At 50.1% G+C, this 23888-nt stretch overlaps 1 protein-coding gene and 1 pseudogene across 1 annotated transcript, besides 1 other annotated feature; one reads left to right on the top strand and one right to left on the bottom strand.

The window, feature by feature from the left end:
• On the bottom strand, positions 328-1119 carry RPL12P48 (ribosomal protein L12 pseudogene 48; annotated as a pseudogene).
• ADRB3 (adrenoceptor beta 3) lies at positions 17585-21194 on the top strand. Its single transcript, NM_000025.3, has 2 exons — positions 17585-18919; positions 19945-21194. Exons 1-2 carry the CDS (start codon positions 17715-17717, stop codon positions 19964-19966), a joined length of 1227 nt encoding a protein of 408 aa, NP_000016.1. The 5' UTR covers positions 17585-17714; the 3' UTR covers positions 19967-21194.
• Positions 17852-18586: an enhancer, noted in NCBI's record as "H3K27ac-H3K4me1 hESC enhancer chr8:37823116-37823850 (GRCh37/hg19 assembly coordinates)". NCBI's record gives its function as "activates a minimal SCP1, AML or CMV promoter by ChIP-STARR-seq in naive and primed H9 embryonic stem cells {active_cell/tissue: H9 hESC(naive and primed)}" and the evidence as "EXISTENCE:reporter gene assay evidence [ECO:0000049][PMID:30033119]".

Genomic DNA, 23888 nt, shown 5'->3' with positions numbered 1-23888 from the left:
GAACACATCGAAACCTATAAAAGGTACAGTAAAAATATGGTATAAATGATTAAAAGATGGTACACCTGTATAGGGCACTTAGCATAAATGGAGGTTTCAGGACTGGAAGTTTCTCTGGGTGAGTCAGTGAGTGGTGAGTGAATGAAGGCTGAGGACATTACACTATTGTAGACTTTATAAACACTGAACACTTAGGCTACACTGAATTTATTAAAGATGTTTTTCTTTCTTCAGTAAATTAAATTTAGCTTAATGTAACTTTTTTACTTTATAAACTTTTTTTTGGTTGTCAAATGATCCTTTATTAAAATATTGTCCTTTGTGGTTCTTAACTAGCTGAGCATTCCTCCGCACTACCGTTAAAAGTCATCTATGATGTCATGAGGGTGGCGGCCATCAACATTGCAGCCACAGACTGGGCAGGCCCCAAAATCTCTTCAACGGTTCCAGAGAGTATGCTGGCTAAAGATTGATGCCTGGGCAACCTTGACAATCCAAAAGTGTTATTTCCAGGCAGGGTGTGGCGGCTCACGCCTGTAATCCCAGCACTTTGGGAGGCCGAGGTGGGTCAGTTGCCTGAGCTCAGGCTCAGGAGTTCGTGACCACCTTGGGCAACATGGTGAAACCCCATCTATACTTTAAAAAATAAAAGAAATTAGCCAGGCGCAGTGGGGCGCACCTGTAGTCCCAGCTACTAGGGAGGCTGAGGCACGAGAATCACTTGAGCCCGGGAGGCAGAGGTTGCTGTGAGCTGAGATTGCCGCACTGCACTCCAGCTTGGGCTACAGAGTGAGACTCCATCTCAACAACAAAAGTGTTATTTCCGCTGTGTTTAATGTTTTTCTGTTTCTTTCTGCCTTTTGGCAGTTTGTCGAGGGCTTTGATGATGAGAGCAGAGGCAGAAGGTACCCCCTCAATCTGGGCCTGTCTGTTCTGGTCAGTTTCACTGTAATCCTCATACGCTTCCAGTCACTGATTGCCTTGGCAATGTCATCATCAACTTTTAGAGACAGACCTAGGGGGCTGATCTTGGGAGCCAGTGCAGATGTGGCACTGACTTCACCCCCAGTACACCCCAGGTGTATGAATTTGATCTCACTGGGGTTGAACTTAGGCAGCTGGTGTCAGATGAACCTGGATTTGGGACAGCAGAAGAAAGTTGCCCCACATCCTCCTCCAAGCTGAAAACCGAAAGACTTTATAAGCTTTAAAATTTTTTTAAATGTTGACTCTTTTGTAATAATACTTAGCTTAAAACACAAACCCACTGTACAGCTGTACAAAATTATTTTCTTTCTTTATATCTTTATTCTATCAGCTTTTTCTATTTTTAAATATTTTATTTTATTATTTAGTTATTTATTTATTTTTGGAGACGGAGTCTTGCTCTGTCTCCCAGGCTGGAGTGCAGTGGCACCATCATGGCTCACTACAACCTCCTCCTCCCGGGTTCAAGCAATTCTCCTGCCTCAGCCTCACAAGTAGCTGGGATTACAGATGCACGCTGCCACGCCCGGCTAATTTTTTTGTATTTTAGTAGAGATGGGGTTTCACCATGTCGACCAGGCTGGTCTTGAACTCCTGAGCTCAGGCAATCCACCCGCCTCAGCCTCCCAAAGTGCTGGGATTATAGGCGTGAGCCATCGCGCCTAGCCTTTATTTTTAAGTTTTTTAACTTTTTTGTTAAATCTAAGACACAAACACACACATTAGCCTAGGCCTACCCAGGGTCAGGATCCTCAATATCACTGTCTTCCACCTCCACATCTTGTCCTACTGGAAGGTCTTTAGGAGCGATAACACGCATGGAGCTACCGTCTCCTGTGATAGCAATGCCTTCTTCTGGAATACCTCCTGAAGGACCTGCCTCAGGCTGTTTTATAGTTAACTTTTAAAATATACATAAGTAGGCCAGGCGGGGTAGCTCACACCTGTAATCCCAGCACTTTGGGAGGCCAAGACAGGCAGATCACTTGAGGTCAGGAGTTCAAGACCAGCCTGGCCAACATGGTGAAACTCTGTCTCTACTAAAAATACAAAAATTAGTCAAGCATGGTGGTGCATGTCTGTAATCCTGGTTACTCAGGAGGCTGAGGCAGGAGAATTGCTTGAACCTGGGAGGCAGAGGCTGCAGTGAGCCGAGATCCTGTCACTGCACTCCAGCCTGGGCGACACAGTGAGACTCTGTCTCAAAAAAAAAAAAAAAAATGTGGCTGGGCACAGTGGCTCACACCTGTAATCCGGGCACTTTGGGAGGCTGAGGTGGGTGGATCACCTGAGGTAAGGAGTTCAAGACCAGCCTGACCAACATGGTGAAACCCCGTCTCTACTAAAAATACAAAAAAAATTAGCCAAGCGTGGTGGCGCATGCCTGTAATCCCAGCTACTCAGGAGACGGAGACGGGTGAATCACTTGAACCCGGGAGATGGAGGTTGCAGTGACCCGAGATCGCACCATTGCACTCCAGCCTGGGCAACAAGAACAAAACTTCTTTTCAAAAAAAAAAAATATATATATATGTATACACACACACACACACACACACATCTTATATATGCATATATATACCCATAAATAGAAGAAGTAGGCTCTCAAATAACAGTAACAGGAAAAGTAAATACATAAACTAGTAACATAGTTGTTTATTATCATTATCAAGTATGCACTGTACATAATTGTAGGTGCGTTACTTTTATAGGATTGACAGTGCAGTAGGTTTGTTTATACCACCATCACCACAAACACAGGAGTCACCCATTGCACTACAATGTCACTAGGCGATAGCAGTTTTTCAGCTCCATTATAATTGTCACTGGCTGGAATGTCACATACACAGATGCCCAGGCTGGTCTTGAACTCCTGACCTCAAGTGATCCGCCTACCTTGGCTTCCCAAAGTGGGATTACAGGTGCGAGCCACCCCGCCCCACTTGTTCTGTTCTATTGTTTCTGTTCCTCTGGAGAGCCCTGACTCCTCCACCTATCAAAACACTTCACAGCTCTGACCCTCCAGAGTCTATTATTTTAAACTGCAATCACAGTCATGACTGGTCAGTGTAACTTTTAGGACACCCAGCCTTAAGTTCCTTCCCCTCATTTTACAAAAAAAATGGTCCTTGTTTGAAAGTTTCATGCAGAGATATTGGTTTAACCCATTGCATTTCAGTGGTTCTGCTTATCACAGAAGACATCACCCTAGGCGAGCTTCTCAAAGGGACTCTCTCTCCTCTTTATCAAAGTGCCCATTTTCCCATACACCCATATTTGGCTGTGCAAAAAGAAATTTCTCCCATTCTCCAGGAGAGCATCTAGTGTCCTTACCCTTTGGGCAAACTCTTCTTAAAGAAAGTTCTTGTAAAGTCAGTCACCCAAGTTGTAGCTGACTGAGGGGCATTCTCTTTCAGAAGTCTTTGCTTTTTTTTTTTGATTGGTCCTTGCTCTGTTGCCCATGCTGGAGTGCAGTGGTATAATGATAGCTCACTGCAAACTTGAACTCCTGGGCTCAAGCAATCCTCTTGCTTCAGCCTCCCAAATTGCTGGGACTACAGACCTGCAGCACCACCCCTGGCTAATTTCTGTATTTTTTGTAGAGACAGGGTCTTGCTATGTTGTCCAGGCTGGCAGAACCTCTCCCTCCCAAAGTACTGTGATTATAGGCATGAGACACCATGTCCGGCCTCACTGATATATCAAATTACACATTACAATGATAAGAAATTCTTCTGGCCAGGCGCAGTGGCTCACGCCTGTAATCCCAGCAGTTTGGGAGGCCGAGGTGGGCAGATCACTTGAGGTCAGGAGTTCAAGACCAGCCTGGGCTAGATGGTGAGACCCCCCATCTCTACAAAAAACATGGTGAAACCCAAACTCTACTAAAAATACAAAAATTAGCTGGGTGTGGTGGCATGTGCCTGTAATCACAGCTACTCAGGAGGCTGAGGCATGAGAATCTCTTGAACCCGGGAGGTGGAGGTTGCAGTGAGCCTAGATTTCACCACTGCACTCCAGCCTTGGCAACAGAGTGAGACTCCACCTCAAAAAAAAAATTATTTATTTTATTTTTTAGACACAGGGTCTTGCTCTGTTGCCCAGGCTGGAGTGCAGTGGCACAATCATAGCTCACTGCTGCTCGGTACATCTCAGCCTCCTGAGTAGCTGGGACTATAGTCACCAGAAGTCTTTTCTATTTATTTATTTATTTTGGGATGGAGTCTCATTCTGTTGCCCGGGCTGGAGTGCAGTGGTGTGTGATCTAGGCTCACTGCAGCCTCTGCCTCCTGAGTTCAAATGATTTTCCCACCTCAGCCTCCTGAGTAGCTGGGACCACAGACATGTGCCACCATGCCTGGCTAATTTTTGTATTTTTAGTAGAGACAGGGTTTCACCATGTTGGTCAGGCTGGTCTCAAACTCCTGACCCCAAGTGATCCACCTGCCTCAGACTCCCAAAGTGCTGGGATTACAGGCATGAGCCGCTGCATCCAGCCAGTTTTTCCATTTTAATACGAGATAATATCTTCAGTTAAAAAGCATGAATTTATAATGATGAATTTTTATTTTATTTTATCTTAATTTTTAATTTTTTGTTTTGAGACAGGGTTTCACTCTGCTGCCCAGGTTGGAGCACAGTGGTGTGATTACAGCTCACTGCAAACCTTGACCTCCCAGGCTCAAGGGGTCCTCCCACCTCAGCCTCCCAAGTAGCTAGGACTGCAGGCGTGCACCACCACACCTGGCTAATTTTTTCTATTTTTTGTAGAAATGAGGTCTCACTATGTTGCCTAGGCTGGTCTGGAATGCCAGCCTCAAGAGATCTACCCACCCACCTCTGCCTCCCAAAGTGCGGGGATTATAGGAATGAGCCACCATTCCCAGCCTAATGATGAAATTTTAAGGTGAAAACATCTTTTTCCCTTGGAGGAGGAGACCTTCTTATCCCTGACATCACAGGCTACATTGTCCCTACAACAGCTGGCTGGACAGTGTTCCATTAACACTCCTTTTTTTTTTGAGATGGAGTCTCACTCTGTTGCCCAGGCTGGAGTGCAGTGGCGTGATCTCGGCTCACTGCAACCTCTGCTTCCCAGGTTCAAGCGATCCTCCTGCCTCAGCCTCCCAAGTAGCTGGGACTACAGGCACGTGCCACCATGCCCGGCTAATTTTTGTATTTTTAGTAGAGACAGGGTTTCAACATGTTGGCCAGGCTGGTCTCGAACTCTTGACCTCGTAATCTGCCTGCCTCGGCCTTGCAAAGTGCTGAGATTACAGGAATGAGCCACTGCGCCCAGCAGTACTCTTTTTTATTTTTTTTATTTTTTTTGAGATGGAGTGTCGCTCTGTTGCCCAAGCTGGAGTGCAGTGGCACGATCTCAGCTCACTGCAATTCTCTGGCCTCAGCCTCCCAAGTAGCTGAGATTACAGGCCTGCACCACCATACCCAGCTAATTTTTGTATTTTTAGTAGAGATGGGGTTTCACCATGTTGACCAGGCTGGTCTCGAACTCCTGACCTCGAGTGATCCACCCACCTTAGCCTCCGAAGGTGCTAGGATTACAGGCATGAGCCACCGTGCCCGGCCAGCACTCCTTTTTGATTTATTCTTCTTCCTGGTGTGCTACAGCCTCTGGGAAACTCCAGCAGGAAAAGACCCCCGTGGGAACATCTCCATAGGAGGCTCACAGCATCCTCTCATGCTGGTGTACCAGGTGGAAATGGCACCACGTGGCAGGTGCTGATGGATGCAGGTCCTAGTGGCAGGTTCAGTAGGGAAGAGGATGTGGTTCCAGGAAGCCTGTGGTGGGATCGCTGGCCTTGGGAATGAGAAAACTTTTCAGGAGATAATATGACCTGTAGGAAGGTGTCACTTCTGTCAAATTCAAGATGAGAGGCTAAGACCAAAACATAATGAGTGTCAGGTCTGTAAGTTTGTCCCAGCACTTTGGGAGGCAAAGGCAGGAGTACTGGTTGAGGCCAGGAGTTTGAGACCAGCCTGGGCTATACAGACAGACCCATCTCTACAAAAAAAAAAAAAATTTTTTTTAATTAGCTGGGTGTGGTGGTGAGTGCTTGTAGTCCCAGCAACCTAGGAGGCTGAGGCAGGAGGGTCGCTTGAGCCCAGGAGTTTGAGGCTGCTGTGAGCTTTGATCACACCATTGCACTCCCGCCAGGGCAACAGAATGAGACACTGTACATATTAAAAAAAAAAAGCCTATAAGTTTGAAAACAACAAGCAGTGAATGGATAAAGGTCAGGCATCCAGAGTGGAGGATGAGAACACTGAGTAAAAATCAGTGGGACTCTCTTCCAAGAAGCCACCCCAATCCCGAACCTCTGCACTTTTGTTTTTTTTTTTTTTTTTTGAGACAGTCTCACTCTGTTGCCCAGGCTGGAGGGCAGTGGCGTGATCTCGGCTCACTGCAACCTCCTGGATTCAAGCTATTCTCTTGCCTCAGCCTCCAGAGTAGCTGGGACTACAGGCATGCGCCACCATGCCTGGCTAATTTTTGTATTTTTAGTAGAGATGTGGTTTCACCACGTTGGCCAGGCTGGTCTTGAACACCTGACCTCAGGTGATCTGCCCACCTTGGCTTCCCAAAGTGCTGGGATTACAAATGTGAGCTACTGCGCCTGGCCTGGAACCTCTGCACTTTTGTGTATGCGAGTCCCACCATCTGGATGCCAATTTCCCTTTCCTGTGCCTTTCCACATCCTAATCATTTGTTTTTTTGTTTTGTTTTATTTTTGAGACAGAGTCTTGCTCTGTCACCCAGGCTGGAGTGCAGTGGCATGATCTCGGCTCACTTCATCCTCCGCCTGGCAGGTTCAAGCGATTCTCCTGCCTCAGCCTCCCAAGTAGCTGGGATTACAGGCATGCGCCACCACGCCTGGTAATGTTTGTAATTTTAGTAGAGATGGTGTTTCACCATGTTGGCCAGGCTGGTCTCGCACTCCTGACCTCAAGTGATCTGCCTACCTCAGCCTCCCAAAGTGCTGGGATTACAGATGCGAGCCACAATGCCCAGCCCCAATCGTTTGTTAACATTCAACTCCAATTCCTCCTCTTCGTGAAGTCTTTTCTGACCATGCCCTCTGGGAGTGGTTTCTCTTTCGCTGGCATCCCACCTTCACTGGCACTCACTTCCCTCCTCTACCCTAGTCATTTGGCAGTTACTTCTTATGTTTAAGCCTCTCCCTCTAGAGTGGAATCTGAAGGTGGCCATTGTGTCTGACACCTCTTGGTATGTTCCAGCACCTGGCCCTAGCCTGGTGCCTAGCACATAGCTGTGTCCCGTACTTGCTGACTGATGGATGGGTAATTGACGCATCAGGGCAGGCATTCTTTCTCAGTCCTTGTTTAATGACATTGAGACTTGAAGAGCTTGCTATCCAGAGACTTGTTCCCTCTGAGCAAGCAGGGGTTGTGCTGCTGGGTTTAATTTATGTTGCTCTGCCTTTCATGCTTTCAAAGGACTTTCCCACAACAGACTGGGGACCTAAAGGTTTGTGCCACTAGCACCAGGGCTCAGAGATGAGTGGTGACAGATGCAGCCAAGTGTGCCGGCCCTTGACCTGGTTCCGCTTCTGCACCAGGGTTGGAGCTTTCTGCAGCCATGGGGTCTGGCGCTTCATTCCCAGCTTATTCCCATGTGGAGTACAGTCTCTGGGCTTTCACGTGGAGGTGTGGGCTTGCATCTGTGAGTGGGGGGACCCACCCACTGGGTGTACATGACTATGTATATGGATGTGATGACTCTTGGTGAGGGGCAGGTGAGCTGGGCATGGTGGCTCACCCCTGTAATCCCAGCACTTCGGGAGGCCGAGGCAGTCAGATCACTTGAGGTCAGGAGTTCAAGACCAGCCTGGCCTGGTTCTACTAAAAATATAAAAATTAGCCAGGCATGTTGGTGGGCGTCTGTGATCCCAGCTACTCAGGAGGCTGAAGCAGGAGAATCGCTTGAAGCCAGGAAGTGGAGGCTGCAGTGTGCTGAGGCCTCACCACTGCACTCCAGTCTGGGCAACGGAACGAAACTGTCTCAAAAAAAAAAAAATTAAATATGTCAGGATTAAATTAAATATGTATTAAACTTTGTCTTCCCAGGAGATGCCTTCACTTGCTTTCCTTCCCCTCTCCGTGATGGGATAAAGCCACCCTACCAATATCTATGCCGAAAGCTGCCTCTCCCACAGGACTGGCAAGACTCCTTTGGCGGAACAAAGTAAAAACGAAACTTTCTCTGTGGGGCTGGGAGCTCCCTACCCAGGGGCAGGGACCGGGTCCTAGTCACCTCTCCATCAGCACACTGAAGGTGCAGACTGGCCAAGGACAAGTAGGGGCTTGGAAAAAGTGTGAGGAGTGAAGGAAAGGCTGGATGCCCCAGGGTGCTGCAGCCCTACCAGCCAGGTTGTCCTGTGATGACTTAGGCTGAGTGGCTTCTCTTCCTCCCCTCCTATTTATTGATTTATTTTAGAGACAGGGTCTCACTCTTCTGCCCAAGCTGGAGTGCAGCAGTGCCATCATAGCTCACTGTAACCTACAACTCCTGGGCCCAAGCAATCATCCCATCTCAGCCTCCCAGGTAGCTAGGATTACAGGTGCATGCCACCGTGCCTGGCTATTTATTTTATATTTTTTTGCAGAGGTGGGGTCTTGCTATGTTGTCCAGGCTGGTCTCAAACTCCTGGCCTCAAGTGATCTTCTCTCCTTGGCCTCCCAAAGTGCTAAGATTGCAGGTGTGAGCCACCATGCCTGGCCCATTTTCTTTTCTTTTTCCTTTTCTTTTCTTTTCTTCTTTTTTGAGATGGAGTCTCACACTGTTGCCCAGGCTGGAGTGCAGTGGCACAATCTCGGCTCACTGCAAGCTCCGCTTCCTGGGTTCCAGCGATTCTTCTGCCTGGCTAATTTTTTCTGTATTTTTAGTAGAGACGGAGTTTCACTATGTTGACCAGGCTGGTCTCAAACTCCTGACCTTGTGATCCTCCGCCTTGGCCTCCCAAACTGCTGGGATTATAGGCGTGAGCCACCACACCCGGCCAGCCCATTTTCAATTTATCATGGCGGGGAAGAGAATCCGATCCTGACTGGAAAGCAAGATGCCCTGCCACCTCTTGGGACTGAAAAAAAAAAAGTAGCATTTTTCCCATCCATGACTTCTTCAAAAACAGGAAACACTTCTCTTTTCTCCCACCACACCCTCTCCCACTGGCATCTGGATCCTGACCATTCTCTTGATGCTTTCTTGAGGGGCCCTCAGCCATGTGCCAGGGCATGGGGGGCTCCGCTTCCCTCCTCTTTGCAGCCAGGAAAGCTCCTCACTCCTTTCTTAATTAAAGGCATTTGATAAAACCCAGCACTGGCTTCCCCACTGGGGAGGAGCCATCCTCAGTGTCCTGTCTTCTTTCCCTCCCAGCACCAGCTGCTCTTTCCCCAGCACTTGCTTCCCAGGGGAAAGATGTGGTTGGTAGGAGGGAAGGGATCAGAGAGTGTTTTAGCTCTAGTACCAGCTTCTTTGGGAGGCAGAAAGGTTCCAGCCTTGTCTGAGCTTTCCCTCCTAGGGAAGGAAGGGAGAGGAGAGCATGGACCAAGCAGCATGGAGGATCTGCCCTCCTCTGTGCTGCCTCCTTCCATCAAAGAAAGTGGGTGGCTCTCACCTGTAATCTCAGCACTTTGGGAAGCTGAGGTGGGAAGATCACTTGATGCCAGGAGTTCAAGACCAGCCTGGGCAAGAGAGTGAGACTCCAGCTCTACAAAACATCAAAGAAAATAGTAAGCATGGTGGGGGGTACCTATAGCCCCAGCTACTTAGGAGGCTGAGGAGGGAGGATCACTTGAGCCTGGGAGTTCAAGGCTGCAGTGAACTCTGATTGAACCACTGTACTCCAGCCTGGGTGACAGAGTAATACCTTGTCTATAAAATAAATAAATACACTTTGGGAGGCTGAGGTGGGCAGATCACTTGTGGTCAGCAGTTCGAGACCAGCCTGGCCAACATGGTGAAACCCTGCGTCTACTAAAAATACAAATATTAGCTGGGCATGGTGATGTGCGCCTGTAGTCCCAGCTACTCGGGAGGCTGAGGCAGGGGAATTTTTGAACCTGGGAGGCAGAGGTTGCAGGGAGCCGAGATCATGCCACTGCACTCCAGCTTGGGTGGATGCAAAGAAGCCAGCCAAAGCAGCATCTAGGGGTGACTTGAAAGGCGATGCTAGAAACTTACCACTGGGTTGGTGGGCAACCCCTCCTGCTAATAGTGGCAGGAGGCAGACAAATGCCTAGGCAGATAGGGGCAGGTCCCTGGTGAAACCACACCTCCAAGCCGAAGATATTTTAAAGCCTGAAAGCCAAGCTACAAGTCAAATCCACGGACCGGATTGAGAACCTGTCTTGGTGTGCTTTCCTCTTATTAATCCCCACCCTTCACCTATTTTACATTCACCTACCCTTTCCTAATTGGTTTTCTACACTGTCCATGCCCCACCTTTGAGTGGTGTCTTCGCTTTAACCTTTATTGCATACTCACAAACCAATCAGCACGCAATCCCCATTTTGAGTCCATAAAAGCCCCAGACTCAGCCACACTGAGACAGAAACCACCTGACTGCAGGGGTTGAGAACGAGCCCCACTCCCAACATCCCCTCTCCACTGAGAGCTGTTCCATTGCTCAACAAAATCCTTCTCCACCCATCCTCACCCTTCTAATTGTCAGCATAACCTCATTCTTCTTGGATGCAGGACAGGAGCTTGGGAACCGCTGATTGCAAGTGCAATCTATAACACAGGGGGCAGTGGTGGGAAGGGGGGTTGTTGCCAGCCTGGAGGTCTCCCTGGTTGGCAAAGTGGCCGAGAAAAATCCTGCATCGGCTGGGTATGGTGGCTCACGCCTGTAATCCCAGCACTTTGGGAGGCCGAGGCAGGTGGATCACCTGAGGTCAGGAGCTCAAGACCAGCCTGGTCAACAAAGTGAAACCCCATCTCTACTAAAAATACAAAAATTAGCCGGGCGTGGTGGCACGGACCTGTAATCCCAGCTACTCAGGAGGCTGAGGCAGGAGAATCGCTTGAACCTGGGAGGCGGAGGTTGCAGTGAGCCGAGATGGCACCATTGCACTCCAGCCTGGGCAACGAGAGTGAAACTCTGTCTCAAAGAAAAAAAAAAAAAAATCCTGCGTCACTGCTTTCTCTTTCCCCCTCTGGCTTGATCCCTCTCTTACCTCCTGGAAGGAAGCCTAAGCATTTGGGCCTGGGTTGTAGGTGGGACTCGTGACCTCTCCCAGCCTCTGGGGAGCAGCTTCTCCAATAGTCAGGGATCTCAATGACCTTCCTTCCTTCCTTCCTTCCTTCCTTCCTTCCTTCCTTCCTTCCTTCCTTCCTTCCTTCCTTCCTTTCTTCCTTCCTTCCTTCGTGCCACTTGCAAAAGTTCAATGATTATTCAGAAACTGGAAGAAGGATTTCTCTTCCTACCTCAGGAGAGAAAGAAGCATTTCTTGGTCCCTTCTTCCATTTATGACCAGGAGCTAAAAGAGAAGGCACTGCTAGAACACACTCCCTGTCCACCCCTGTCTCCCCAGGCATAAGGCTTTCATTCCAGGCCAGTCCTTAGGCACCAGAATGCCTTTGGTTTCCGCATAAAGGAGATCCCTTCTGTCTCCCCTTCAAGTCCTCTGGATCTGACCTTGGGAAACAAATCAGGTGTGTGCAGAGTTGGCTGTGCCACATTACAGAATACAAGAAAAGTCTTAGCTTAGGGGCTTCTTTTCAGTTCTGATAGTTTTTATCTCTCTGCCTTCTGGTTAGATGGTGGGCCATTGCCATGGTGGGGGCCTGGAGAAGGCAGACTGGCAGGTGGCACCAGCCACAGCCTGGCTGGGAGTGAAGGAAGTTGTTTTGGAAAAGGGACCAACTCCTTGGATGCCTGTGTACCTGTTAGAAATGAACCTTTACTGCACACTTTCCACAAGATGAAAAAAAAAAAAAAAGAAACAAACCTTTACTGTGTTATAATGGACAAGCCTCCATTTCCTCTCTGGGCCTCAGGTTTTCTTTTCTTTATTTTTTATTTTATTTATTTATTTATTTTTTGAGTCAGAGTCTCGCTCTGCCACCTAGGCTGGAGTGCAGTGGCCTGATCTAGGCTCACTGCATCCTCCGCCTCCTGGATTCAAGCGATTCTCAAGCCTCCACATCCTGAGTAGCTGGGATTATAGGCGCCCACCACCACGCCTGGCTAATATTTGTAGTTTTGTAGAGACAGGGTTTCACCATGTTGGCCAAGCTGGTCTCGAACTCCTGACTTCAAGTGATCTTCCTGCCTCGGCCTCCCAAAGTGCTGGGATTACAGGCGTGAGCCACCGCACCCAGCCTGGGCCTCAGGTTTTCAATTCTGTAAAGTGTTGGTGCTGGATTTGACCGTTAAGACTGTTTTTAGCGCTTATGCTCTGCCACCTCCACCCTATGCCCCTAGACTATTTGTGACGAAAGAAGAAACAGCAAACACCAAACCAGCTGCTCAGAGGCCACATATACACGCATGATTTCATAAAAATGAATGGATGGTTGCTGTGGGCAATGGAGAGGAGAGACAGGGTAAAGGGGTAGCAAAAACTTCCACCTAGTTTTTGCTCCATTCCAAGAACTTTAAAGCCAGAAGGGTGGATTATGAATGTTAGAATAGAACTGCCTGTTACGCATGTAGTCTTAGACAGGGTATAAGGCTGCGATCACCTGAACTCTTTTTGGCTTCTTTAGTCCACCTCACATGAACATATACAGACACACATATACATGCACCCAATCATGATGTTCACAGGAGAGAGTACTCTTCCCTGCTGTTAGAACTTCTGCTCATCAGGCGGCTGCTGCCACTTCTGGCTCTGCCAGACACATATTCTAAATCACAGAGCTATTCTCCCTGGCACATAACCCCCGAGCACCAACATGTAAACAGCAGCCTGAGGGCCTGAACTCAGTGCATTCAGAGGCCCACAGACGCTGCCTGCTTCCAAGGGCACAGAACAAAGGTCATCTGGGGGCTGAGGGCCAGCGCAGTGCTCTCTCTGGGCAATGTACACTTCTATCCCGAGTTGGATGACCTCTCCGGCCCAGGCAGTACTAATTCCCCTCGGGCCAGTCATTAGGACGACTTCCCAGAACAGTAGGCCAGCTGTCTCCACCCCTCTGCTGACCATCAAAAATGAAGGTGAGAGTATAATTGGGTACATCCCCAGGGAAGACCATTTGGCAGTATCTTTCAAATTTGCAAATGCATAGACCTTATAACATAGCAAAATCTATTTGTAGAATATACTCACATACAGGTGAAATGACATGTGTTTAAGTTATTCATTGCAACATCATCTGTTAGTAAAGATAAGAAGTAAGCTCGATGTCTATCAGTAGCAGACTGGTTTCATAGACAATCATATAACCATACAATGGGATACTGAAAATGAGATGCTTTTGGCTGCGCACGGTGGCTCATACCTGTAATCCTAGCACTTTGGGAGGCCCAGGTGGGTGGATCATCAGAGGTCAGGAGTTTGAGACCAGCCTGGCCAACATTGCAAAACCCCGTCTCTACTAAAACTACGAAAATTAGCCGGGTGTGGTGGCACGCGCCTGTAGTCCCAGCTACTTGGGAGGCTGAGGCAGGAGAATCGCTTGAACCTGGGAAGTGGAGGTTGCAGTGAATCGAGATCGCACCACTGCACTCCAGCCTGGGTGACAAAGACTCTGTCTCAAAAAAAAAAAAGAAAGAAAGAAAGAAAAAGAAAATGAGACACTTTTGTATATCTATCTGGAAGGATCACAGATACATAGTCAAATTAAAATAAGCAAGGTGCAGAACAGTGGGTATATATGACTGCTATTTGTATAGAAAAGAAAGGATAAAAGAATATATATATTTGTATTGACTTGTATCTATATAAAATATGAGCCGAGGGATAAACCAGAGACTAATGGTAGTTACCTGCTAGGGAGATGAAAACTGGGATGAAGGCAAGTCTCTATTATATGCATTTGTTATATTTTGATGGTTGAATAATGTGCACGTATAATCTATTCAAAATATTAAGTTATAAAACACAAAATCACAAAAGAGACCCAATAGTCTATAGACTAAGGTGGCAAAAGAGGGAGCCCTTCCCCCTGCCATCTGCTTGGGCGGGGGAAAACCAGACTGAGGAATGAGAGCAGGGATGAGTTGGCAGAGGAGGAAGAAGCCAAGTGTCTCAACATTGATGGATTTGCTCATAAAACCATCCCTAACCGGAGTCAGAAATTTCTCTTCTTACAGTGTCGTTTGGTTATTGGCCTAATCATTCCCCAAACTCAGGCACACTCAGGTGGTTTGAGAAATCCTGTCTTTTTTGAAAATGTTAAACATTTTTACACACTTCTTCCAAATTACAAGGTCACCCCTAAGGCATTGACATCATTGAGGTTGCTTCACTTTCCGGCACCCCTTTCCCTTCCCCCTCCAATGCTGATGTCCTGGAAAAAAATTGCTGAATGGCATGCATTGATTTTGGAGATTACTTTTTGGGAATCTTATGATATCCCTTTGAGATAACTGGCAACAACACTCTGGGGTGCTGCAAAACCCTACTTGGGAGTGACTGCCTTGCTGGTCAACAGGAAGCCACAGCCAAGACTCTGTGCCCAGTGGGGCCTGCACCACTCTGTCATGACTTGAGTGGGGGCAGTAAGAGGTGGAAGGGGCCAGAGGCTGCCTCTTCACTTTCACCCCCATGGATTTCCATGGATCCAAAGGCCTGCTTGGGGTTCTTCATGGGCATAGAAGTCACTTGCTTGGGAGCCCAAGACAAACCCTGCTCATGGGTGAGCAGCTGGGTCCCTGGGAGACGAGGCTGGTTCTTTTTCCTTGGGGATAATTTTAGGTTCTGAATTCCCCTGCAACCTTCCTAACTCCCAGCCCCCAGCTCAGCCTCCCAGAGGGATTGTTCATACCAGTGACTATAAAGTGTTCTCTCGAAATATAGAGCTGTTCAGAGACCTGCCAGGGCATAGCCCTGGAGGCATTTTCCATGATAATTTTTCCCCCTTTGTCCCATTGTTTCAGAGGAGGAAGCATGATAGCTCAAGAATCAGGTCCTGATAGTCCCTGATAAGGTGTCACATCTTCCTGCCTCTCCACTTGAACCCTGGGGCTTTATTTTCCAGCGCCCCCCTCCCCGTACGCAATCTGAGAGGAACTGGTTTAGAGATTGAGAGAGCAGGGGCTGGAAAAAGGAAGCCTTGCAAGTCTTGAGTGAGGGCAGGGAGAAGGGAAGAGGAAGAGGGAAGCCTCTGGTGGAACCGCCTAAGAGACTTCAGAGGCTTTGAAACACCAGGCCTGCCACCACACACGCTCAAAAATGAACGCATGAATTCCTCAACTCAACGCCTTCTAGTTTTTAAAAGTTAATGAATGAAATCCTTAAGGAAGTCCGGACACGGTGACTCACACCTGTAATCCCAGCATTCTGGGAGGCCGAGGCGGGTGGATCATCTGAGGTCAGGAGTTTGAGACCAGCCTGGCCAACATGGTGAAACCCCGTCTCTACTAAAAATACAAAAATTTGCTGGGCTTGGTGGCACATGCTCATCCCAGCTACTTGGGTGGCTGGGAGGCTTGGGAGGCTGAGGCAGAAGAATTGCTTGAACCTGGGAAGTGGAGGTTGCAGTGAGCAGAGATTGTGCCACTGCACTCCAGCCTGGGCAACAAGAGCAAAATTTCATCTCAAAAAACAAATAAACAAACAAAAAACCTAAAGGAAGTGGAGCGAACACTTACCATTGGGGAGATGGCAATGGAAGAGTTGTGTATAGTTTGGGGGGATGGTGGACCTGCCTCATACCCAGTCACCCATTTACCCATTTTTTTTTTTAAAATAGGGTCTTGCTTCTTGCCGTCTTCCAAGCTGGAGTGCAGTAGTAGCATGATCACAGATCACTGTAACCTTGAACTCCTGGGCTCAAGCGATCCTCTCCTCTCAGCCTCTTGATTCATCCTTTCTTTTTTTTTTTTTTTTTTTTTTTTCTGATATGGAGTTTCGCTCTTGTTGCCAAGGCTGGAGTGCCATGGTGTGATCTCGGCTCACTGCAACCTCTGCCTCCCAGGTTCAAGAGATTCTCCTGCCTCAGCCTCTTGAGTAGCTGGGATTACAGGCATGCGCCACCACACCTGGCTAATTTTTTTTTTTTTTTTTTGTATTTTTAGTAGAGACAGGGTTTCTCCTTGTTGTTCAGGCTGGTCTTGAACTCCTGACCTCAGGTGATCTGCCCACCTCGACCTCCCAAAGTGCTGGGATTACAGGCGTGAGCCACCGCGCCCACCTGTTGATTCATCCATTTTTAATATGTCTTTATAGCAGAAAGATTTTAAGAGAAGGGGCTATCTAGAAAATCTCTAGGTGGAAAGGTGCATGGAAGGGGCAGTGCAGAGTGGGGAAGATGGAGAAATTGAAATTCTTCAGCATCCCAGACTACATAGTGCCAAATCCAAATGCAAATCCAGAGCTAGCAATGAAAAAGACTCCTGGCCGGGCGCGATGGCTCACGCCTGTAATCCCAGCACTTTGGGAGGCCGAGGCGGGCGGATCACGAGGTCAGGAGATCGAGACCATCCTGGCCAACATGGTGAAACCCCGTCTCTACTAAAAATATAAAAATTAGTTGGGCATGCTGGCGGGTGCCTGCAGTCCCAGCTACTTGGGAGGCTGAGGCAGGAGAAGCGCTTGAACCCGGGAGGTGGAGATTGCAGTGAGCAGACATCACATCATTGCACTCCAGCCTCCAGCCTGGGTGACAGAGCGAGACGCCGTCTCAAAAAAAAAAAAAAAAAGAAAAGAAAAAGAAAAAGACTCCTGAGCCTCCTAGTGGTTCACGCCTGCAATTCCAACTACTCAGGAGGCTGGGACAGGAGGGTGGCTTGAGCCCGGGAGTTCAAAGCCAGCCTGGGAAAAATAGAGAGAGAGAGAGACTTGAAATATGGTAAATTTCCTCAGTACCTGAAAATATTAAAAAAAACAAAAAGCTAGAAGGAAAGAGAAGGTAACTGAAACAGAAGGGAAAGGGGACAGATCTCACCAAGCTGAGGTCTTGGGAGAGGAGATACTGGCTGAGCCCTATTACTTAATTTAAAATACCTTAGGGGAGGCCACCCAAGTGGATGCGGGGCTCCTGTGAATCCTTTGCTTGACTCCAGCGGGTTACCTTTGCCTCTGATACATAAAGGGTGGGGATGGGAGCGCTCTCCTCTCTCCTTCCCCTGCCTTGCTGTGGGAACTTCTGGGAAAGGAGGTGCAGGGCTCCAGGAAGCCAGTGCCCAGGGAGTGCTATGCTGAGTCCAGGAGCCTGGCCACGGCAGGGGTGGACAGATGGTGGCAGAGGAACCACGGTGTCCCTTCCTCCAGATTTAGCTAAAGGAAACGTGGAGCATCCCATTGGCCATCCTCCCCACTCTCCAATTCGGCTCCAGAGGCCCCTCCAGACTATAGGCAGCTGCCCCTTTAAGCGTCGCTACTCCTCCCCCAAGAGCGGTGGCACCGAGGGAGTTGGGGTGGGGGGAGGCTGAGCGCTCTGGCTGGGACAGCTAGAGAAGATGGCCCAGGCTGGGGAAGTCGCTCTCATGCCTTGCTGTCCCCTCCCCTGAGCCAGGTGATTTGGGAGACCCCCTCCTTCCTTCTTTCCCTACCGCCCCACGCGCGACCCGGGGATGGCTCCGTGGCCTCACGAGAACAGCTCTCTTGCCCCATGGCCGGACCTCCCCACCCTGGCGCCCAATACCGCCAACACCAGTGGGCTGCCAGGGGTTCCGTGGGAGGCGGCCCTAGCCGGGGCCCTGCTGGCGCTGGCGGTGCTGGCCACCGTGGGAGGCAACCTGCTGGTCATCGTGGCCATCGCCTGGACTCCGAGACTCCAGACCATGACCAACGTGTTCGTGACTTCGCTGGCCGCAGCCGACCTGGTGATGGGACTCCTGGTGGTGCCGCCGGCGGCCACCTTGGCGCTGACTGGCCACTGGCCGTTGGGCGCCACTGGCTGCGAGCTGTGGACCTCGGTGGACGTGCTGTGTGTGACCGCCAGCATCGAAACCCTGTGCGCCCTGGCCGTGGACCGCTACCTGGCTGTGACCAACCCGCTGCGTTACGGCGCACTGGTCACCAAGCGCTGCGCCCGGACAGCTGTGGTCCTGGTGTGGGTCGTGTCGGCCGCGGTGTCGTTTGCGCCCATCATGAGCCAGTGGTGGCGCGTAGGGGCCGACGCCGAGGCGCAGCGCTGCCACTCCAACCCGCGCTGCTGTGCCTTCGCCTCCAACATGCCCTACGTGCTGCTGTCCTCCTCCGTCTCCTTCTACCTTCCTCTTCTCGTGATGCTCTTCGTCTACGCGCGGGTTTTCGTGGTGGCTACGCGCCAGCTGCGCTTGCTGCGCGGGGAGCTGGGCCGCTTTCCGCCCGAGGAGTCTCCGCCGGCGCCGTCGCGCTCTCTGGCCCCGGCCCCGGTGGGGACGTGCGCTCCGCCCGAAGGGGTGCCCGCCTGCGGCCGGCGGCCCGCGCGCCTCCTGCCTCTCCGGGAACACCGGGCCCTGTGCACCTTGGGTCTCATCATGGGCACCTTCACTCTCTGCTGGTTGCCCTTCTTTCTGGCCAACGTGCTGCGCGCCCTGGGGGGCCCCTCTCTAGTCCCGGGCCCGGCTTTCCTTGCCCTGAACTGGCTAGGTTATGCCAATTCTGCCTTCAACCCGCTCATCTACTGCCGCAGCCCGGACTTTCGCAGCGCCTTCCGCCGTCTTCTGTGCCGCTGCGGCCGTCGCCTGCCTCCGGAGCCCTGCGCCGCCGCCCGCCCGGCCCTCTTCCCCTCGGGCGTTCCTGCGGCCCGGAGCAGCCCAGCGCAGCCCAGGCTTTGCCAACGGCTCGACGGGTAGGTAACCGGGGCAGAGGGACCGGCGGCTCAGGGTCGGGAAGCATGCGATGTGTCCGTGGGTCAACTTTTTGAGTGTGGAGTTTATTAAGAGAAGGTGGGATGGCTTTGCTTGGAGAGAAAAGGGAACGAGGAGTAGCGAACCAAAATGGGACCCAGGGTCCTTTTCTTTCCGGATCCAGTCACTAGGGTAGAAGCAAAGGAGGGCGAGCGGGCCGTCGTTCCTCACCCAAGGACCCAAGGTGCGCCACCGGAAAGCGCTGCGGTGTCCCGAGGACTCTCGCCTCGCCTGGTCGGCTTTAGGGATTTTTTTTTTTTTTAAATAGAGACAGGGTTTCGTCTCTGTCGCCCACGCGGGAATGCAGTGGCGCGATCTCAGCTCACTGCAGTCTTGAACTCCTGGCTCCTGGGCTCAAGCGATCCTCCCACCTCAGCCTCCTGAGTATCTGGGACTACAGGCGAGCCCCACCAATCCCAGCTATTTTTAAAATTTCTTGTAGAGATGGGGTCTTGCTATGTTGCCCAGGCTTGTCTTGAACTTCTGGCCTCAAGTGATCCTTCTGCCTCAGCCTTCCAAAGCATTAGGATTACAGGCCGGAGCCAGGGCGCCGGGTCGGCTCTAGTTTTGGTTTTCCAGCTCAGTTCTTTGCCCCCCTCCCCCGATTTCTTGCCATCACTAGACCTGGCTCGGACTTGAAGGCAGGGCTAGTGCCCCCCCACCCGCCCCCCAAGCCCTCGGCCTCAGTTCTGGGTTTTCTCAAAGGTTTGACAGCTGTGGAGGTGAGAATCCACTTCCGGTATGAAGTACAGTTGTGAGTGAGGAGCCTGTGAGTGCAGATGTGTGCCCTCCCGCTCCCTGGGCTGGGTTGGAGTAGGGATGGGGTGGGGCGTGTGTGGCTGGGTGGTGCCCTGGCGTTTTTGTGTAACTAAATATGCGTTCCAGGGTCTCTGATCTCTGTCATTCCCCTCAGTGCACCTGTTGCTCCTTTCACCCCAGGGTCTATTATCTCCACTTTTTTTCCCAGGGCTTCTTGGGGAGTTTCTTAGGCCTGAAGGACAAGAAGCAACAACTCTGTTGATCAGAACCTGTGGAAAACCTCTGGCCTCTGTTCAGAATGAGTCCCATGGGATTCCCCGGCTGTGACACTCTACCCTCCAGAACCTGACGACTGGGCCATGTGACCCAAGGAGGGATCCTTACCAAGTGGGTTTTCACCATCCTCTTGCTCTCTGTCTGAGAGATGTTTTCTAAACCCCAGCCTTGAACTTCACTCCTCCCTCAGTGGTAGTGTCCAGGTGCCGTGGAGCAGCAGGCTGGCTTTGGTAGGGGCACCCATCACCCGGCTTGCCTGTGCAGTCAGTGAGTGCTTAGGGCAAAGAGAGCTCCCCTGGTTCCATTCCTTCTGCCACCCAAACCCTGATGAGACCTTAGTGTTCTCCAGGCTCTGTGGCCCAGGCTGAGAGCAGCAGGGTAGAAAAGACCAAGATTTGGGGTTTTATCTCTGGTTCCCTTATTACTGCTCTCAAGCAGTGGCCTCTCTCACTTTAGCCATGGAATGGCTCCGATCTACCTCACAGCAGTGTCAGAAGGACTTCGCCAGGGTTTTGGGAGCTCCAGGGTTCATAAGAAGGTGAACCATTAGAACAGATCCCTTCTTTTCCTTTTGCAATCAGATAAATAAATATCACTGAATGCAGTTCATCCTCGGCCCCCTTTCCCTCCGTTTGTTTTCTTTTCATAATCCACTTACTCCCTTCCCTTCTACTCTGCGCTGGCTTTTGACAGAGGCAGTAAATTAGGCCTAATCCTCACTCTTTTCTTCCTAATCTTCATCAAACAAAAAATGAAAAGTCTGTCTGGACGAAGGGGAGTGAGCTTGAGCCTTTGATATCTTGCTCCCCCACCCTTCCTGAAACTCTTGAAATCCAGTTGCCATTGAGTAGCAAAGCCACGCTCCCCACAGGACTTGGACAGAGGGCCCACAGGGGGATGGGCTGGCTGTGGCCAGGTTTAGGGCAGGGGGCATTTGTCCCCTCCATGCTATAATCCAGTGGTGCCTTACATGGTGTGTGTGTGTGTGTGTGCGTGTGTGTGTGTGTGTGTGTGTCTGGAGGCACAGGCACAAAGCATTGCTTGGGTTGGTCAAATGTCTTGTGTCATAAATATATTCTGATGTTTCCCAGCCTTTCCACAACCTCTACCTTCCCACTCACCTTCCCCAGCTACAAAAATCTGTATTATCCTCTTAAAGTAAAACTGGAGTTACAAATTTGAGCCTGTTGATGCAGTTTTCTCTTATTTCCATTTTATGAATCTTATCAGCCAGGTTTCCTATGTAAAGAAAATTTCTAAGGAAATCATTAGATCATTTTGTGAGTTTCTATTTAAACTCTATGAGCCAAGACTATTGTCCAGGATGATTTATGGAATGCCCGGTAAATCACAGATGTTTTGCGTGTTTGTGATGTAGTGCGCAATGTGTTGTCTTGGTTCAGGGGCCCTAGAGTTATAAAATTCCATCTGCCCCAAGGAGGAGCTCGATAGATTTCCACATATGGGTGTTCCCTGTGAATTGGACCTGGTCTGTGCTGCTCTCTTTTCTCCAGGAGCCCAGGTTTTATTTCTCAGGATGTTTTCATACCAAAGATGACTTTCTCCTTTTCAACCAGGGCAGGGTGAGATCTCTGGTGTCTGAGGTGTGCAAGATTTCTTGGCAAAGACTCAACTTTGTGGCTGTTAGTGGAGGAGGAAGTCTTGCTTGACAAATAAGAGGCCCTCCTCTCCCCATCTCTGGATATTCTCCCAACATCGCTGGATAAAATTGGCCAGTCAGTGCTAGGCAGGGGAGAATGATGATGTTGGAGGTGGGGCCCCTGGTGTGTAGACTTGTCCTTGAACATTGTCCAGAAGCTCATACTGCTTGAGTCTTGTTGGACTTGCCCGTGCGCCAGCTGTCACACTCCTTTGCAGTGTTTAGACTTGTGCTGGGGCTATGGATTCCATCTGCAGATTGTCAGATAGAATCTGACAGTCTGGTCATTTCTCCAGCAACTTGTGGCCAGGCATCAAGTGGAGGGAGATTTACATCCTTGGATGGGAGCAGGCTGCTTTTGCTAGCATGAGGCCTGAGCACTTGAACTGTAGAAGACAAACAGCTGTCCCCTGAACCCAGAGATATGATGACTTCCAGGCCCGTGAGAACAACAGAGTCCCTAGAGCCGCTGGCCTCCCCAGAGTCTGTTAGCTGGAGCTGGGCATGGGACAGAAATGACATGGAAGAGAGGGCTGAGTTGGAGGAGAGGGAATGAAGAGCGGGCTTTTTCAGAGCTGACCTACCCTCTGCATCAAGTGGAACTGAGGGGGAACAGGCAGAATTTGGGTACAGGAGGATGTGGGGGGCTGACTTTCCCAGACTTTCTTCTGGGGAATGGAGGTAGGTGCAGGCTGTGGTCCTCACGGGCAGTCCCTGGGCCTTAGTCCCATGCTGACTGCATCCTCAACCCTAGGAGAGTAGGAGCAGCTCCTCTCCTCTGTGTGTTTCCATTGCACCCTACATGGTCCTAGGAGCACAGGGGAAGGCATGGGAATAGCGCTTCTTACTGTTTTCATCTTAAAACTGCCTAGATCCAGGCCTTTTGAAGGCCTCTTGGCGAAGGTATGTCTACACACTGTCTGTGTTTGGGTGTCTGTCCAGAACGGGGAAATGGGAGCCTGCCATGGCAAGCACTGCTAATGCTCTCCCCCACACAACAAGCCCTGGGTATAGTCTGCCTTTGGCCAGTGAGAAGCAGCTGAAGCATAACATGCAATTCAGTTTAATTTGAGGCCGAGGTGGGCGGATTACCTGAGGTCAGGAGTTCGAGACCAGCCTGGCCAACATGGCAAAACCCCGTCTCTACTAAAAATACAAAAATTAGCCGGGCATGGTGGTGGGTGCCTGTAATCCCAGCTACTTGGGAGGCTGAGGCAGGGAGAATGCTTGAACCCGGGAGGCAGAGGTTGCAGTGAGCCTAGATGGCACCACTGCACTCCAGCCTGGGCAACAGAGTGAGACTCCATCTCAAAAAAAAAAAAAAAAAAAAAAGGGACAAGGAAAAAGACAGTCTCATAGAAATCAAATAACTTCCTTGTATCGACTCTCACCCCATCTACCAGATTCCAAAGTCCATTTTCTCTTCTCTATATGCACTGCTTAGAAGCAGTTGTGTGACACTGAACAAGTCACTTAGCCTTTCTGACTGTTTCTTTGCCTGTGAGTCAACTGGAGATTACATGATCACTCTACTCAGCTCATGCAGGCTGCTTTTGAAGACCCGGTGAGACACTGTGTGTGAAAGTGGTTTGGAAACTGAAAATGCTTCTCCGGTATAAAGCGGTGAAATCAGAATCTGGAGCTTGGATGAGTCCCAGGTCTATTATAGCAGGGATCCCCAACCCCTGGGCCGCAGACTGCTACTGGTCTGTGGCTTGTTAGGAACTGGGCTGCAGCGCAGGAGGTGAGTGGAGGGCAAGCGAGCATTAACACGTGAGCTCCGCCTCCTGTCAGATCTGCGGCTGCGTTAGATTCTCACTGGAGCGCGAATCCTAAAGTGAACTGCACATGTGAGGGATCTAGGTTGCATGCTCTTTCTGAGAATCTAATGTCTGATAATCTGAGGTGGCAGCTTTATCCCAAAACCATCTCCTTCTCCCCTGTCCGTGGAAAGATTGCCTTCCACCAAACCGGTCCCTTGTGCCAAAAAGGTTGGGGATCACTGTCTTATAGGGTCTTGCTCTGTTGCCCAGGCTAGAGTTCAGGGGCACAATCATGGCTTATTGCAGCCTCAGCCTCCTGCTCAAGTGATCCTCTTATCTCAGCCTCCCAAGTGGCCAGGACTACAGGCTTGCACCACTATGCCCAGCTAATTAAATTTTATTTTTTGTGGAGACTGGGTATTTCTATGTTGCCCAGGCTGGTCTTGAGCTCCT

Source organism: Homo sapiens, chromosome 8 (assembly GCF_000001405.40).
Source record: "Homo sapiens chromosome 8, GRCh38.p14 Primary Assembly".
Taxonomy (NCBI): Eukaryota; Metazoa; Chordata; class Mammalia; order Primates; family Hominidae; genus Homo; species Homo sapiens.
Note: the sequence above shows the minus strand (reverse complement) of the source record. Positions and strands in the feature narration are given on the sequence as shown.

Bases quoted from the DNA above. Each gene is read 5' to 3' on its own strand.
- ADRB3 (NM_000025.3), top strand. From the start codon at position 17,715: ATGGCTCCGTGGCCTCACGAGAACAGCTCTCTTGCCCCATGGCCGGAC. The intron at 18,920-19,944 runs GTAGGTAACCGG...TTTTTTTCCCAG, and splicing joins CTTTGCCAACGGCTCGACGG to GGCTTCTTGGGGAGTTTCTT.